This window comes from Homo sapiens, chromosome 9, assembly GCF_000001405.40.
Source record: "Homo sapiens chromosome 9, GRCh38.p14 Primary Assembly".
NCBI classification, from domain to species: Eukaryota; Metazoa; Chordata; class Mammalia; order Primates; family Hominidae; genus Homo; species Homo sapiens.
The window spans coordinates 135,444,972-135,461,362 of record NC_000009.12 but is presented as its reverse complement, the minus strand read 5'-3'; the positions used below and the strand labels follow the sequence as shown (position 1 = coordinate 135,461,362).

General features: G+C 49.4%; 1 pseudogene; it reads right to left on the bottom strand.

Moving 5' to 3' along the window:
* On the bottom strand, window positions 11,568-13,930 carry SOCS5P2 (suppressor of cytokine signaling 5 pseudogene 2; annotated as a pseudogene).

Sequence of the window (16,391 nt, the reverse complement as noted above, 5' to 3'; positions counted from 1 at the left end):
TGTGGGAGAGTTTGCAGACGGGAGTGTCACAGTTAGATTTAGGTTTTGAGAGAATCCTGTAAACCACAGTGAGTGCCACTACTCACATACCAGAGTCGTTGAAATTGGAAACGTCAGCCATGCTGAGCGTCGAGGAAGCTGCGGAGCTGTGGCAATGCTCGTACACCGCTGGTGGAAATGGACAATCCTGGGGCAGGCAATCCCGAGAACAGTTTAGCAGTTTCTTATAAAGTTAAACATACACTCATCATGTGACCCAGGGATTCTACTCCTACATATTCACCTAAGAGCATTTAAAATAACACATCTTCACAAAACCTTCCACGCCGATGCTCAGAGGGGCTTTATTCATTAGAGCCCCAGACAGAAAACAACCCCGATGTCTATAAACTGCAGAATGGGTCCAAAAGACGGTCGTATTTCCATTCAGTGAAACAGCCTCAACTCAGAAGAGGAATTAAGTACAGACACACACAGCATGGGAGAATCTCAGAAACATGACCCTAGCTGAAAGGAGCAGAGAATAAACTGTGTGGTTCTATTTATACAAAATCCTATAACTTGCAAAACTCTAAGAACAGAAAGCAGATCAGTGGGTGTTCGGAACTGGGGCTGGGAGGGTAAGGAGGAGTTTGATTAAAAAGCAGCAGGTCAGAAGTTTTGAGGTGATGAAAATGCTCTAATCACGACTGTGGGGTGGCCACACACAGCGCACAATGCAAAGCACGTGGAGCTTTACTTCTGAACTGGTCAGTTTTACTCCGTGTGTAATTAGACCTTCATAACCTGACTCTGAGAAAGCAAAAACCATTTCTCAGGTTCTTGTGGGGATCGCAGACCACAGGGCAGAGTGGAAGCAGGTTGACAGCGTGGGGTCAGAGTTGGGATTTATTTCCGTGGAGAGTTGACCAGACTTGTTGAGTGGTTGGATGCGGGGTGGGAAAAGAAGGGTAAAGGGGGCCCCTGGGGTCTGGATCTGGCTCAGGGTAGGTGGTGGTCCCACTAGTGGAGAAGGAGGTGGGTTGTTTATTGCCACATCCAGGGGGGCACTGGGGACGTCACCCCACCTGTCTCCCTGCACCTGGACCACACCTGGAGGTGGCAGGCAGTGTCCTAAGCTGATCGCCAGGGAAGTCTTCAAGGCCCCCTGCCCCAGGGGTAGCACCAAGCCTTCTGCCGTCGGGGCTGGGGCAGGCCTAGGGGTCTCCTTTGGGCGTGGAGCCTTGAATGGGCACCTGGAGAAAGATGTTGGGGTCCCTCCTTCCCAGGGGCTCCCTTGGAGCTGGGAGGTCCTGCATTTTGGCCTCTAAGGAGAGAGGGAAAGACACCCAGGACAGAGCCCGGTTGTAGGGATGCAGGGCAAGGATGTTCCTGGGACTGGCCTGGGCTTCCCAGCCAGCCAGGTCTGAGTTCAAATCCCAGCCATGCTGCATACCTACAACTACCTGATCTTCGACAGAGCTGACAAAAACAAACAATGGGAGACATTGCTTGTTTTTATGTTTGTTGGCTGACATACATACATACATACATGTCTTAAGACATACATGCAGTCAACAAGCATATGAAAAAGAGTTCAATATCATTGATCATTAAAGAAATGCCAGTCAGCTGGGCGCAGTGGCTTATGCCTATAATCCCAGCACTTTGGGAGGCCGAGGTGGGAGGATCACCTGAGGTCGGGAGTTCGAGACCAGCCTGACCAACATGGAGAAACCCCGTCTCCACTAAAAATACAAAAGTAGCCCAGCGTGGTGGTGCATGCCTGTAATCCCAGCTACTCAGGAGGCTGAGGCAGGAGAATCGCTTGAACCTGGGAGGCAGAGGTTGTGGTGAGCTGAGATCATGCCATTGCACTCCAGCCTGGGCAACAGGAGAAAAAGTCTGTCTAAGAAAAAGAAAGAGAGAGAAAGAAAGAAAGAGAAAGAAGGGAGGGAGGGAAGGAGGGAGGGAGGGAAGGAAGGAAGGAAGGAAGGAAGGAAAAATGTCAGTCAAAACCATGATGAGATATCATTTCACACCAGTCAGAATGGCTCTTATTAAAAAATCAGAAAATGGGCTGGGCGCAGTGGCTCACTCCTGTAATCCCAGCACTGAGGCGGGCAGATCACTGGAGGTCAGGAGTTTGAGACTAGCCAGGCCAATGTGGCAAAACCGTGTCTCTGCTAAAAATACAAAAATTAGCTGGGTGTGGTGGTGTGCATGTGTAATCCCAGCTACTCAAGAGGCTGAGGCAGGAGAATCGCTCGAACCCGGGAGGCGGAGGTTGCAGTGAGCTGAGATCGGCCACTGCACTCTAGTCTGGGCGACAGAGCAAGATTCTGTCTCAAAAAAAAAAAAAAAAAAAGTCAGAAAATAACAGATGCTAGCAAGGTTGTGGAGAAAAAGGAACACTTATACACTATCTGTGGGAGTGTAAATTAGTTTAACCATTGTGGAAGACAGTGTGGTGATTCCTCAAAGACCTAAAGACGGAAATACTATTGAACCCAGCAATCCCGTTACTCGTTATCTACCCGAAGGAATAGAAATTGTTGTACCATAAAGACACATGCATGTGTGTATGTTCATTGCAGCACTATTCACAATAGCAAAGACATGGAATCAACCTAAATGCCCATCAGTGACAGACTGGATAAAGAAAATGTGGTACATATACACCATGGAATACTATGCAGCCATAAAAAATAATGAGACCGTGTCCTTTGCAGGAACATGGGTGGAGCTGGAAGACATTATCCTTAGCAAACTAATGCAGGAACAGAAAACCAAATACTGCATGTTCTCACTTATAAGGGGAACCTGAATGATGAGAACACATGGACGCATAGAGAGGAAGACACACACACTGGGGCCCATCAAAGGGTAGAGGGTGGGAGGAAGGAGAGGATCAAGAAAAATAATGAGGGGGTACTAGGCTTAATACCTGGATGATGAAATAATCTACAACAGTCCCCCATGACACAAGTTTACCTATGCAATAAACCTGCACGTGTACCCCTGAACTTCAAATAAAAGTGACATTAAAAAAAAGTCCTGGGCCGGGCGCGATGGCGCACGCCTGTAATCCCAGCACTTTGGGAGGCCGAGGTGGGCGGATCACGAGGTCAGGAGTTCGAGACCATCCTGGCTAACACAGTGAAACCTGGTCTCTACTAAAAATACAAAAAATTAGTCAGGCATGGTGGCGGGCAGCTCCCTGTAGTCCCAGCTACTCGGGAGGCTGAGGCAGGAGAATCGCTTGAACCCGAGAGGCGAAGGTTTCAGTGAGCCGAGATCACGCCATTGTACTCCAGCCTGGGAGACAGAGCAAGACTCTGCCTCAAAAAAGAAAGAAAAAAGAAAAAGAAAAAGAAAAAAAAGTCCTGGCCATGTCTTACAGTGGCTGAGGAACCCTGGGAAATTGCCTCAGTTTCCCTACAGGCACAGTGGAGGCCATGTCTCCACCACCGAGGTTATGGGGACCTCATAGACAGTAGACCTTCTATCAGTGGCATCCTTCACTCTCTGCCCTTCCCAGTCTCAGTGGCACTCATACGGCTCCTGTTGCAGTAGGGCCTGCCATCAGAGGGCTGGCTCTCCCCGAGCCTCTGCACCCCTCCGGGCCTTAGCTGAGCTGCTTCTTCCCGCCCCAACTGCTTCTTTGCCTCCTTTTCCTCCAGCCCCATGGTCCCCAAAGTTGTGACTGGGCACCTCCTGTCCTGCCTACCAGGGACCCTGGCTCCTCTACCTGCCACCCACCCCTCATCCCCAGTCACCAAACCCATCAGAAAAGCCTTCACCATGGCTTCTTCCTTTCCCTCCCCTGGTGTACCTCCCCCTGCCCCCAGCCCAGGTTGCCTCAAACAGGACCTCTGAGACCCTTCCCCATGAAGCCTGGTAGACCAGCCCACCTGGAGGGATGTTCCTTCTTGTTCTTTTGTGGTCCTTATCCACTGTAAACACTGGCTTTCCAGGGCTGCTGCAGTCTCTTGGATTGGGCCCTTCTTGCCCTGCTGGAACACGTGCTGAGAACCATCCAGGAATACCACGTCCAGGTACCTGTGCTCTTGGATGTATTTTCAGAGAGCAGCAGCCCTGGAATGGATGGTGGGAGGGGCCTGGGCCCTGCCAGCCATCCCACTATACAGATGGAGAAACAGAGGCACAGGGGGAAGACATCCAGCCAGGTCCCCAAGCCCGGCAGCTGTTTCTGTCTGCAGAGCATCAGGGTTTCCATCCTGTGGCTTCCTTCACAGCACCTGCCATGCCAGGCAGGCCCTGTCCAAGTCGGGAGGGTGGGTCAGCAAGACCAGCGCTGCCACTGAAGTTCGCTGTCCCGTGGGAGGCTGAACAAAGAAGCAGGAAGGGTTCCAGGAAAAAGACAGAGCCCAGTGGGGCAGGTGGCTTCTTGGCCCCAAACCAGAGGAGACTCCTCGCCAGCCTATGAACTAATTAATTGTTTTTTTTTGGTAAAGCACAGTGAGCGACCAGGACTCCAGGAGACAGATGGCGCTAAAAAGGCCTTTTCTGCCCAGTCACTTTCATTCCTAGGCCAGACAATACCCAGTGACAATCAGATATTACCGCACTGGCTTTTCAGCTTCAGATGACAGACTGTTTTCTTTAAACTGCTCTGAAAACCCCAAACCACGACCTTCTCTCCACCCATTTCTCTCCCACTACCACTACAGGCGAAGCCCGCAGGAGAGGCGCCGCGGGAGCAGCACAAGCAGGTGACCGCGGTCCTCTCTTCTCTGGTAGACATGGTGGAGTGGTAAGTGCACCGACATTTCTCACATCCTGGAGGAAGCTGTGAACATTCTGAGGACTACTGCAGGCTTCAGTGCCCCTGTTGGGATTTTCATGGATGATCCTGGGGAGGGCGGCTTCGCCTTTCTGAAACACCTTCTCCTGGTGGAGGTGGCCCAATCCCCCACCCTGTAACTCCATCTCTCCCCTCATCTCTCCCCTCCCCTCCATCCCTCCCCGACCTCCGTCCCTCCTCTCACCTCCATCCCTCCCCTCACCTCCATCCCTGCTTTCACCTCTGTCTCCATCCTTCAGCCAGTTGACCATCTGCACAGCCAGGCCTCTTGGTCCTGCCTTCTTGGTCCTGATTGTCCCAGCCCCAAGGACCCCAGGGGTTCCAGTGCTGACAGATAAGTAGACCTGAAGTCATGTTAGCGACGTGGGGAGGAGGAGAAGGGAGGACGAAGATGCATAAGAAGTGTTTTCCCCACATCACATTTTTATGCCTTACAATTGATTTCCTCAAAATCGCATTTTTATTCCTAAAAAATTCCACTTTTATTCCTTTGATACAAAATAACAATAGCAGCTTTAAATTCTCAGGCATGTGTTTATAAGTTGATTTAACGAGGGACAATTTACCAAGTGATGGGGCCGGGTTAAGAACGCGAGCTGGGAGCATCTCCTCTGAGGGGCGAGGGGAGGAAATGTGCGCCAGGCTCTGCAAGGATGGGGAGGAACCACCAGCTTCCTCCTTCCCACCCTCTGATCTCCTGCCAGGGCCCCCATGAGTGGATCCCAACTAGAGGTCAGAGGCCGGGGAGCTGGGAGGATGCAGAGTGGGAAAGGACGGACGTGGACTCCTCATCAGAGCCGGGAACTCCAGCGGGAGGGGAGCTGCTTCAGAGGGGCTGTGACTGGGGAGTACTTTGGGAAGAAGCGACATGTTCTTGTTTGTGTCTAGAAAGGCCAGCTGGCCGCCGTGGACTTTAAGTTTGTGGCGACGGGAACAACTACAAGACAGTTGGGAGGCTGGGGACCGTGGTCATTCGGGAGAAGTGGAGGTGTCCCAGTTGGGTATGGAGAGGGCGGGCAGGCAGGAGAGAGACCTGGGTGGAAGTGGACCGGGGGGCTCGCTGGTCTGGGAGCATGAAGGAGAAGCTGTCCACCCAGACTCAAATGACGGGGAGTTTGCTGTTTGAGGGAACCCGGGGGCTGGCTGTGCAGCACAGGGAGCAGAGGTTGGCAGGAGCTTTTATCCTAAGGTGGATCTTGCCGCCTCTCTGGGCAGCCTCCCAGGCCTCTGCTCCAGGTGACCAGCTTCTCTCGAGGGCCCACAGCCAGCATGGCAGAACACAGCTACCAGCCTTTGCTATACCCCAGATGCTTGGCTACAGGGACCTCCACAACAGCAGCTCTGTGTCTAATGCTTGAGCTCAGTTCCAAGGAGTCTGGCTAGGGTCACCTTTCTGAGCTGGGCTCCCAAGTCACAGCTGACACACCGACTTGTGGGTTTGTGTCCTTGGGTCAGGTATCTGCTGTAATCGGCTGTGCTCAGGGTTGTGGGATGGGCTGAGAATGACAAACCTCCAGGATGGCAGTGAGCTGTCCTAGTGGAGGTCCTCACCTTGATCACCCAGCCACTAGCCAACTCACCAACCGACCACAGATGCAGGAGAGCAGCTGAGACCAGCAGAAGAATGGCCCAGCTGAGCACAGCCCAAGCTGTTGACCGAGAGAATGATGACAAATGAAATGGCCGTTGCTTTAAGCCACTAGTTTTGGGGGTGTTTGTCATGCAGCAAAAGCTGACTGAAACAGAAATTGGAATCCAGAAGTGGGGTGCTGCTGTACAAAAACCTAAACCATGTGCCATAGGTTTGGGACCAAACAGTGGGCAGAAAATGGAAAAGTGGCAAGGAAACTATTAGCAAGGGCTGAGAAAATGGAAAACTGTTAGTGGAGTCTGGAAAGGTGTAAAAAATGCTATAGCTAGTGGAAAAATGGTGTTACATGGTAGCCCAACATCTGGCCAAATGTTATCTGCTGTAACTTACAAGATAGAAAATGCACCTGACAAACTTGTGGGATCCCACCAAGAAGATTTCTCAGTAGAATGTTGAAATTGACAGGTAGTTTCATTTCACTGTGTGAGATCCAGAGAGAGAGAGAGAGAGGTGAGTTGAAATGACAACCATCCAGTTTGCAAGAGAAATCTAGAGGAAGTAGAGAGGAGCCCAGATTGCTGGACTGGAATAAAACTGTTTCAAAGAAGTGGTCACCGGGTAAAGATCAAATCAAACGTGTAGCTTAAGTCCTTTGTTAAAACCTCAGAAAGACTTCAGGCAGTGGCCAGTACAGCCTCCCAGGGAAACAAACAAACTTCTAAGAATCTTAAGGGTGTTGTCCCATAGCACCGTCACATCCCACCCAAGTCGAAGAAAGGACTGTCTAAAAAAGATCTGTGGGCATGACGCTGTTGGATGAAGAGGACTTGCCTCGCATTCATAAGTAATTCACAGAGTTTTAAAGGGAATTCTATTGGTGAAAGCCCCACAGTGCAAACGGAGATAGTTCAAGTTGCACAAGGGCTTCTGGGTGCCTCACTTTCACTGTGGAAGAACTAGAGTGAGAAAGCAAATCAGCTGCCCACAGGGGCCTTTCCTTATGGAAATGAAGGACTCCTCTGAGGGCAGAGCTCAGAGAACAGTGGGCTGCAGCCCTGTCCTACTTATAAATCACGTGTCGGCTGGGCATGGTGGCTCATGCTTGTAATCCCAGCACTTTGGGAGGCTGAGGCTGGTGGATCACAAGGTCAGGAGATCGAGACCATCCTGGCTAACATGGTGAAACCCCGTCTTTACTAAAAATACAAAAAAATTAGCCGGGCGTGGTGGTGTGCACCTGTAGTCCCAGCTACTCGGGAGCCTGAGGCAGGAGAATGGCATGAACCCGGGAGGCAGAGCTTGCAGTGAGCCAAAATTGCACCACTGCACTCCAGCCTGGGAGACAGAGTGAGACTCTGTCTCAAAAAAAAAAATATCACTTGTCTTGTTTTTTCCATTCCCTTGTCTCACCTTCTCCATTCTCACACTTGTGCTTCCTGGAATCATCCTCAAATACATTTCTCCCATTCCAGTCCTAGTCTTAGGTCTAATTTTGGAAAAACCAACCTATGACTCTCGGCAACCCATTTTGTCTCTGACTATTTATTTATTTATTTGAGACAAAGTCTTGCTCTGTTGCCCAGTCTGGAGTGCAGTGGCATGATCTCCATTCACTGCAACCTCTGCCTCCCGGGTTCAAGTGATTTCCAGCTAATTTTTGTATTGTTAGTAGAGACAGGGTTTCACAGTATTGGCCAGGCTGGTCTCAAACTCCTGACCTTAAGTGATCCGTCCACCTTGGCCTCCCAAAGCACTAGGATTACAGTTGTCCCTGCCTTTAGTGGAAAATTCTCTAGTGTTTTCCATTAAGCATGATGCTGGGGTTTGGACAGAGATAGATATGAAGTATCCAACTATTCTTTTTATCCACGTTTTTGTTTTGTTCTGGTTTTAAGGACTGGTTGTTGAATTTTGTCAAATCCCATTTTATGAACATCACAAGTTATCCGTTCTTGATTGACAATTATGAATAAGGCAGCTGTGAACATTCTCATGCCTGTCTCCCAGTAAACATGTGCACACATGTCTTTTGGGTATATACATAGGAGTGTATATTATATATAGGAGTATATATAGGAGTAGAATTAGGGGGTCATAGGGTGGGCGTTTCTTCACTGTCGTTAGAAGGCACTGCGAGTTTTCCAAAGAGATTGTGCTGTTCACGCTCCTACCGGCAGGGCATGGGTGTCCAAGCTGTCCTGTATTTTTGCCAAGGTTTATCATTGTTAGTCTTTTTGTTTTCAGCTGGTCTGATGGATGTGAGGTGTTATTTCATTATAGCTTTAATTTTCACTTCTGTGATTACCAAAGAAGCATTTTTTAATGTGGTTGTTTCTCATTTAAATATACTCTTAAAAAAACAAACAAACAACAACAAAAACAACAACAACAACAAAAAACAAGGAGAACACCAAACATACTTTATTAGCACAAAAAAGCAGCTGTAACAAGGCACAGCAAGAAGAAACATACATTCACAGTCCAAGGGTTAGTGTTGCATACAAATACAGCTTTTCTGGCTGGGCCCGGTGGCTCATGCCTGTAATCCCAGCACTTTGGGAGGCCGAGGCAGGCGGATCACAAGATCAGGAGTTCGAGACCAGCCTGGCCAACATGGTGAAACCCTGTCTCTACTAAAAATACAAAAATTAGCTGGGCGTGGTGGCATGCACCTATAATCCCAGCTACTCAGGAGGCTGAGGCAGGAGAATTGCTTGAACCCAGGAGGCAAAGGTTGCAGTGAGCCGAGATTGCACCACTGCATTCCAGCCTGGGCAACAGAGCGAGACTCTGTCTCGAATGTATATATTCCCTGTAGCCTTGGCGATAGCCATGGGAGTGTAAAATGACATTCTGCAGCAGCATGGAAGGAAACCAGGAAGCAGTCCGCAGTGGCACAGAGCACATTAACAAAAAGATGCAAGGACGGATTAGGCTGCTTTAGTGCAAAATGTCTAGGACAGAACTGTACACATTCAGTTCAGATTCTAAGAAGCAGACACTAGAACCTGATGTAACTTCCAAAAGAGCCCACTCAAATAGTATTACATAGTATTCCAGGTGACAAAAAGTTGCTAAGTAAAGTCGTTTACAGATACAATGGTTGTACAGCACCTTTTAAATTTGCAATTTAGGTTTCAGATTTTCCATTGAGAATGAACTGCCCTGAAATTCGATACATTATACTTAAGCAGTTCAGCTATGAGAATTTTTTTTTTTTTTTTTTTTTGAGACGGAGTCTCACTTTGTCGCCCAGGCTGGAGTGCAGTGGTGCGTTCTCAGCTCACTGCGAGCTCCGCCTCCCAGGTTCACACCATTCTCCTGCCTCAGCCTCCCGAGTAGCTGGGACTACAGGCGCCCACCACCACGCCTGGCTAATTTTTTTGTATTTTTAGTAGAGACAGGGTTTCACTGTGTTAGCCAGGATGGTCTTGATCCCCTGACCTCATGATCCGCCCACCTTGGCCTCCCAAAGTGCTGGGATTACAGGCATGAGCCACTGTGCCCGGCCTCAGCTATAAGAATTTACAACAAAGAGGTAACTACTGCTATCCAAATTATTAATTACAGTTTAACAATAAACTCAACATCAGCAACCATTGCAGTTATTATTGTCTGTCTTGATGGGGCATCTTCTAGTCTCGTGTTCTTCATGGTTCGTGAAATCGTCATGGGCATAGGGAAAGATCCAACTTTCATGAAACAATGATTAGACTGCACATCAACTTTAAAAAATTACATGCCAGAGTATATTGCAGAGGCCGGACACGGTGGCTCACCCTTGTAATCCCAGCACTTTGGGAGGCCGAGGCACTTGAGGTCAGGAGTTCGAGACCCCCCTGGCCAACATGGTGAAACCCCGTTTCTACTAAAAGTACAAAAATTAGCCCAGTGTGGCGGCAGGCACCTGTAATCCCAGCTACTTGGGAGGCTGAGGCATGAGGATTGCTTGAACCCAGAAAGTGAAGGCTGCGGTGAGCTGAGATCATGCTCCTGCACTCCAGCCTGGGTGACAGAATGAGATTCCATCTCAAAAAAAAAAAAAAAAAAAGAAAAAAAGAAAAAAAGACTATATTGCAGAAGCGATTCCACATACCTGTTTTAAGTTAAAACACTCATTAAAAATATTAATACCTAGGACCTTTAGACGAAATTCTACTACTAACTTTATAAGTATGAAATTTTAAGAATGACTATTTAGAAAAGCTGGTTTACCTAACAGTAGCTTTTGGAGAAGAGAAAGAATCTGACTATAAAATACATCAACACTTAAGTGAACTGCACTATGCCCTCGTGGCCAGAAAACTGCATTTCTTTTCCTAAAAGGAAGGCAGTCTTTCATTTTTTTTTTTTTGACTTATAAAGCTTGACTTATAGTAACTTCAAACGTCAGTACTTTTGGAAGATGATAGAAAAACTCTTAGAAAAAATAATTTTAGGCATTAGTCAGACAGTTGCAATACTCATCCAATATTAATTATTTGTTCTTCAGTAAGAAATTGAATTCGTCAGAGCAGATGCCCCTGACCTGCCTCACTCAATGACTACAGCCATTACAAACCCATCTGTTAGCTACATCGGCCACATGTTTTGGTAGGCTTACTGAACACCTGGAGCGGTGTCTCCTGTTGCTCCACCAGGCACCACGTTCATCTGGATAAATAACAGCAGGTCGCACCTAACAGATACCAGCACTAAGGTCAAAGATGGCATGAAAAAACCCAGCAGTGATGTGTGTGCTTGTTCTGGGGCACTGTCTGATGCACACAAAAGTGAACTGAGTTAACACCCTTTGGGGACAGGACAGTTTGCTTTGCCCTGACTGGTTCTCTTTCTAGTTAGCAAAACCTAACTTTTTGTTTATAATGATACCCCTTTTTTTTTTCTCAAGACGGAGTCTCGCTCTGTGACCCGGGCTGGAGTGCAGTGGCGCCATCTCGGCCCACTGCAACCTCCTTCTCCCAGGTTCAAGCAATTCTCCTGCCTCGGCCTCCTGAGTAACTGGGGTTACAGGCCCGCACCACCACACCCAGTTAATTTTTTGTATTTTTAGTAGAGACGGGGTTTACCATGTTGGTCAGGCTTGTCTCGAACTCCTGACCTCGTGATCCACCCCCCCTTGGCCTCCCAAAGTGCTGGGATTACAGGCGTGAACCACCGTGCCTGGCCTATAATGATAGTCCTTTAAAAAATTCTGCCACGTTGATGATAAAGGGAGCCCACTGATTGCATCATACGCAGTGCACCTGCAGACTCCTGCAGACAGATGCCGCAGGCTGAAAGGAAAGGTCCTGTTTAGAGATACAGTAAGCAGTGGTTCAAAAAACATGAATGAGGCCAGACGCAGTTGCTCACGCCTGTCATCCCAGCACTTTGAGGGGCTGAGGCAGGTGGATCGCCTGAGGTCAGGAGCTTGAGACCAGCCTGGCCAACATGGTGAAACCCCGTCTCTACTAAAAAAAAAAAAAAAAAAAAAAAAAAAAATTAACTGGGCATGGTGGCACACGCCTGTTGGCAGGCTGAGGCAGGAGAATCACTTGAACCTGGGAGGTGGAGGTTGCACTGAGCAGAGATCATGCTATTGCACTCCAGCCTGAGTGACAGAGTGAGACTCTGTCACAAACAAAAACAAGCAGGAACTGGGATTTTGATCATGTTCTAAAAGATCTGTTACAGGAGGCAGAGGTTGCAGTGAGCCAAGATCGCGCCACTGCACTCCAGCCTAGGTGACAGAGGAAGACTCCCTCTCAAAAACAAAAACGATAACAAAAAGAAACAACAACAACAACAAAAAAATAAAAATAAAAATAAAAGACCTGTTACAGCGGAGGAGTGAAATACACATGGGCCATGGCCATCAAAACACACGCTGTGATCCCACTGCTCAATCTGTGCATAAAGGGACCGGGTGCAGCGGCGGAAGCTCACAGAGAGGAGGTGTCCTCTTGCACAGAGTCCCTGAGCAAAAAAGGGCCTTCGAGTTTCCTTTCCAGAAGGGCTTCTGCTTCCTAACAGTCCCTCACTCCCCCGTCACAGCGATTCCCTGTAATCTGAAGCAAAGCGGGCATGAGGCAGTGTGTGCAATCAGTCTGTGTGTGGACTTTCCAAGCTCCCCGTCTGCTAACATGGGCAAGGCTGTCTCCAGATACTGATGCTACTTCTGCCTCCGTGACTGCAAACACAGGGCGCTTGGATTCTCTTCTGAGTCACAGTCAGCTTGTGGAATTGCAGAACTGTCCCCACTTATTTCAGCAACTCCAAGAGCTAACCTTGGCCCCAGTTTCTTTAAGGGATTAACCTGTGCAGTAGCTTCAAATGTATTTATTTGTACATTGGGAGGGGGATCTATCCCTTCTTCAATACCAAGCCATCTTCTCCCTCTAAGCCTATCTTCTTTGTCTTCTGTAGAAACCAAAGATGGATCAAATGTGTCAGAAATGTTGAATGTGGGCTCACAGGAGCTGTATGCTGTTTAGTCAGATGCCATTTTGGGGCTAAACCTGAGCTCACTGCAACCTCTGCTTCTGGGCTCAAGCTATCCTCCTGCCTCAACCTCCCAAGTAGCTAGGACTACAGGTATGCACCCACCATGCCCGGCTAATTTTTTTTTCCTTTTTTTGAGACAGAGTTTCACTCTTGTTGCCCAGGCTGGAGTGCAATGATGTGATCTCGGCTCACTGCAACCTCCGCCTCCTGGGTTCAAGCGATTCTTCTGCCTCAGCCTCCTGAGTAGCTGGGATTATAGGCATGTGCCACCACACCCAGCTAATTTTGTATTTTTAGTAGAGACAGGGCTTCTCCATGTTGGTCAGGCTGGTTTTGACCTCCCGACCTCAGGTAATCCACCCGCCTCAGCCTCCCAAAGTGCTGGGTTTACAGGTGTGAGCCACCACACCTGGCCTAATTTTTGTATTTTTGCAGACGGCATCTCACTATGTTGCTCAGGCTGGTCATGAACTCCTGAGCTCAAGTGATCCCCCCACCTGGCCTTGCGAAGTGCTGGGATTACATGTGTGAGCCACCACGTCGGGATTACAGGTGTGAGCCACCGCGCCGGGATTATGGGCATGAGCCACTGCGCCGGCCTCTAGTAAACATTTTATCAGTATCCAGTGAATTCTGGGTCTTTGTGGAACAGGAATGTTTGTTCCTCCCACCTGTGGACCATGTGGAGAGTAGGAATCTCTTCATGAAGTCTTGTTCCTGGGGTAACACAAGAATCATTGTCCTCTTTCAGTGCTTGTTTCAATAATCTGAGAGATTTTGGTGGCACCATTTTGGTGTCTCCTTGAAGAACTCTTGGAAGGGCTTAATCCCAGTTGTAAGGGAAAATGTTTTTTCTCTTAAGGGACTGCTTTGTGGCTGAGCTGAGTCTCCCTGTGTGGATGCTTTTCTCTTTGACAGACAAACCGCCCTTGGCTTTCATGTCTATATTTTCCCTATGGCTTCCTCCCTTGTGACTGAAGCGATTCTGACACCTGTATTTGAAGTCGTTCCATACTTTCCCCACTCTTTCCATTGGCTATAAAATCATCTGGGGTGTGCAGAGCAGCCTTATGCAGGGTACCTGCGGCCAGGCAGGACAGGCCCGGGCGGCACAGTTCCCCGACAGGTGGAGGATGGCCCGGACGGCACAGTTCCCCGACAGGTGGAGGATGCCTGCTCTCTGGTGTGTTCTGTCCCCTCCGACTGCACAGCCCACCCCCTGTCCCCCTGCCACGGCCAGCCCTTCCTCTTCACCTGTTTCCCCCGTCTCCCCCCACCCCAGCCAGCCCTTCCTCTTCACCTGTTTCCCCTCCCCCTCCCCCCACCCCTGCCAGCCCTTCCTCTTCACCTGTTTCCCCCCTCTCCCCTGATCCCGGCCAGCCCTTCCTCTTCACCTGTTTCCCCCATCTCCCCCCACCCCAGCCAGCCCTTCCTCTTCACCTGTTTCCCCCCTACTCCCCCCACCCCTGCCAGCCCTTCCTCTTCACCTGTTTCCCCTCCCCCTCCCCCCACCCCTGCCAGCCCTTCCTCTTCACCTGTTTTCCCCCTCTCCCCCCACCCCAGCCAGCCCTTCCTCTTCACCTGTTTCCCCTCCCCCTCCCCCCACCCCTGCCAGCCCTTCCTCTTCACCTGTTTCCCCCCTCTCCCCTGATCCCGGCCAGCCCTTCCTCTTCACCTGTTTCCCCCATCTCCCCCCACCCCAGCCAGCCCTTCCTCTTCACCTGTTTCCCCCCTACTCCCCCCACCCCTGCCAGCCCTTCCTCTTCACCTGTTTCCCCTCCCCCTCCCCCCACCCCTGCCAGCCCTTCCTCTTCACCTGTTTTCCCCCTCTCCCCCCACCCCTGCCAGCCCTTCCTCTTCACCTGTTTCCCCTCTCCTCCCCAGACCCCTGCCAGCCCTTCCTCTTCACCTGTTTCCCCTCCCTGCACCCCAGACAGCCCTTCCTCTTCACCTGTTTCCCCTCCCTGCACCCCAGACAGCCCTTCCTCTTCACCTGTTTCTCCCCCTCCCCCCACCCCAGCCAGCCCTTCCTCTTTACCTGTTTCCCCTCCCCTCCCCCCACCCCAGACAGCCCTTCCTATTCACCTGTTTCCCCGCCTCCCCCGTCTGGAATGGCTAAATACACTCTTTGGTGAAGTGCTGGGTCAGGCCTCTTGTCTATTTTTCCTATTGTGTTAATGATCATTTTTCTTGCTGCTTCATAAAATTTCTTTAAATAATAAAATGGAAATGACTGAAAATGGCTATTTTTGGTTACATATATTACAAATATTTTATTCCACTTTCTAACTTGCCTTTTCCTTTTCTTCCTGGAATCTTTTGATGAATAGAATCTCTTATCTTCTTCCCATTTTGAAAGCTGTGGTAAAATAGGCTGGGCATGGTGGCTCGTGCCTGTAATCCCAGCACTTTGAGAGGCCGAGGTGGGCTAATCATTTGAGGTCAGGAGTTCGAGACCAGCCTGGCCAACATGGCGAAACCCCATCTCTACTAAAAATACAAAAATTAGCCCGGCGTGGTGACCCACGCCTGTAATCCCAGCAACCCAGGAGGCTGAGGCAGGATAAATGCTTGAACCCAGGAGGTGGAGGTTGCAGTGAGCTGAGATCGCGCCACTGCACTCCGGTCTGGATGACAAAGCAAGACTCCTTCTCAAACAAACAAACAAAAAATTGTGGTAAAACAGACATAACATAAAATTTACCATCTTAACCCTTTTTAAGTGTAAAGCTTAGTTGCATTAAGTAAATTTATAATACTGTGCGGCCATTGCCACCAAGCATCTTCAGAACTCTTTCCACCTTGTAAAGCTGAAGCTGTACACTCATTCAACAACCTCCCACGATCCCCTTCCAGCTCCTGCAACCACCTTTCCACTCTGTCACCATGAATTGGACTGCTCTAGGCCCCTCACGTAAGTAGAATCCTAAAGCATCTGCCTTTATGTGACTGGTTTGTGTCGCTTAGCACAGTGTCCTTAAGATCCGTCCGCCCTGTAGCATGTGTCAGAATTGCGTTCCTTTTTTTTTTTTTTTTTTGACGGAGTCTTGCTCTGTCGCCCAGGCTAGAGTGCAGTGGCGTGATCTCGGCTCACTGCAAGCTCCACCTCCTGGGTTCACCCCATTCTCCTGCCTCAGCCTCCGGAGTAGCTGGGACTACAGGCGCCCGCCACCACGCCCGGCGAATTTGTTGTATTTTTAGTAGAGATGGGGTTTCACCGTGTTAGCCAGGATGGTCTTGATCTCCTGACCTCGTGATCCACCCATCTTGGCCTCCCAAAGTGCTGGGATTACAGGCATGAGCCACTGCACCCAGCTAGAATTGTGTTCCTTTTTAAGGCTGAATAATATTCCGTGGTTCGTATATACCACATTTTGCTTGTCCGTTCACCTGTGGGTGGACACTTGGGTTGCTTCTGTTTCAGTGATTGTGAATAATGCTGTTAGGAACACGGGTATGAAAATATTTCTTAGAGACCCTGCTTTCAATTCTTTTGCGTATATGCCC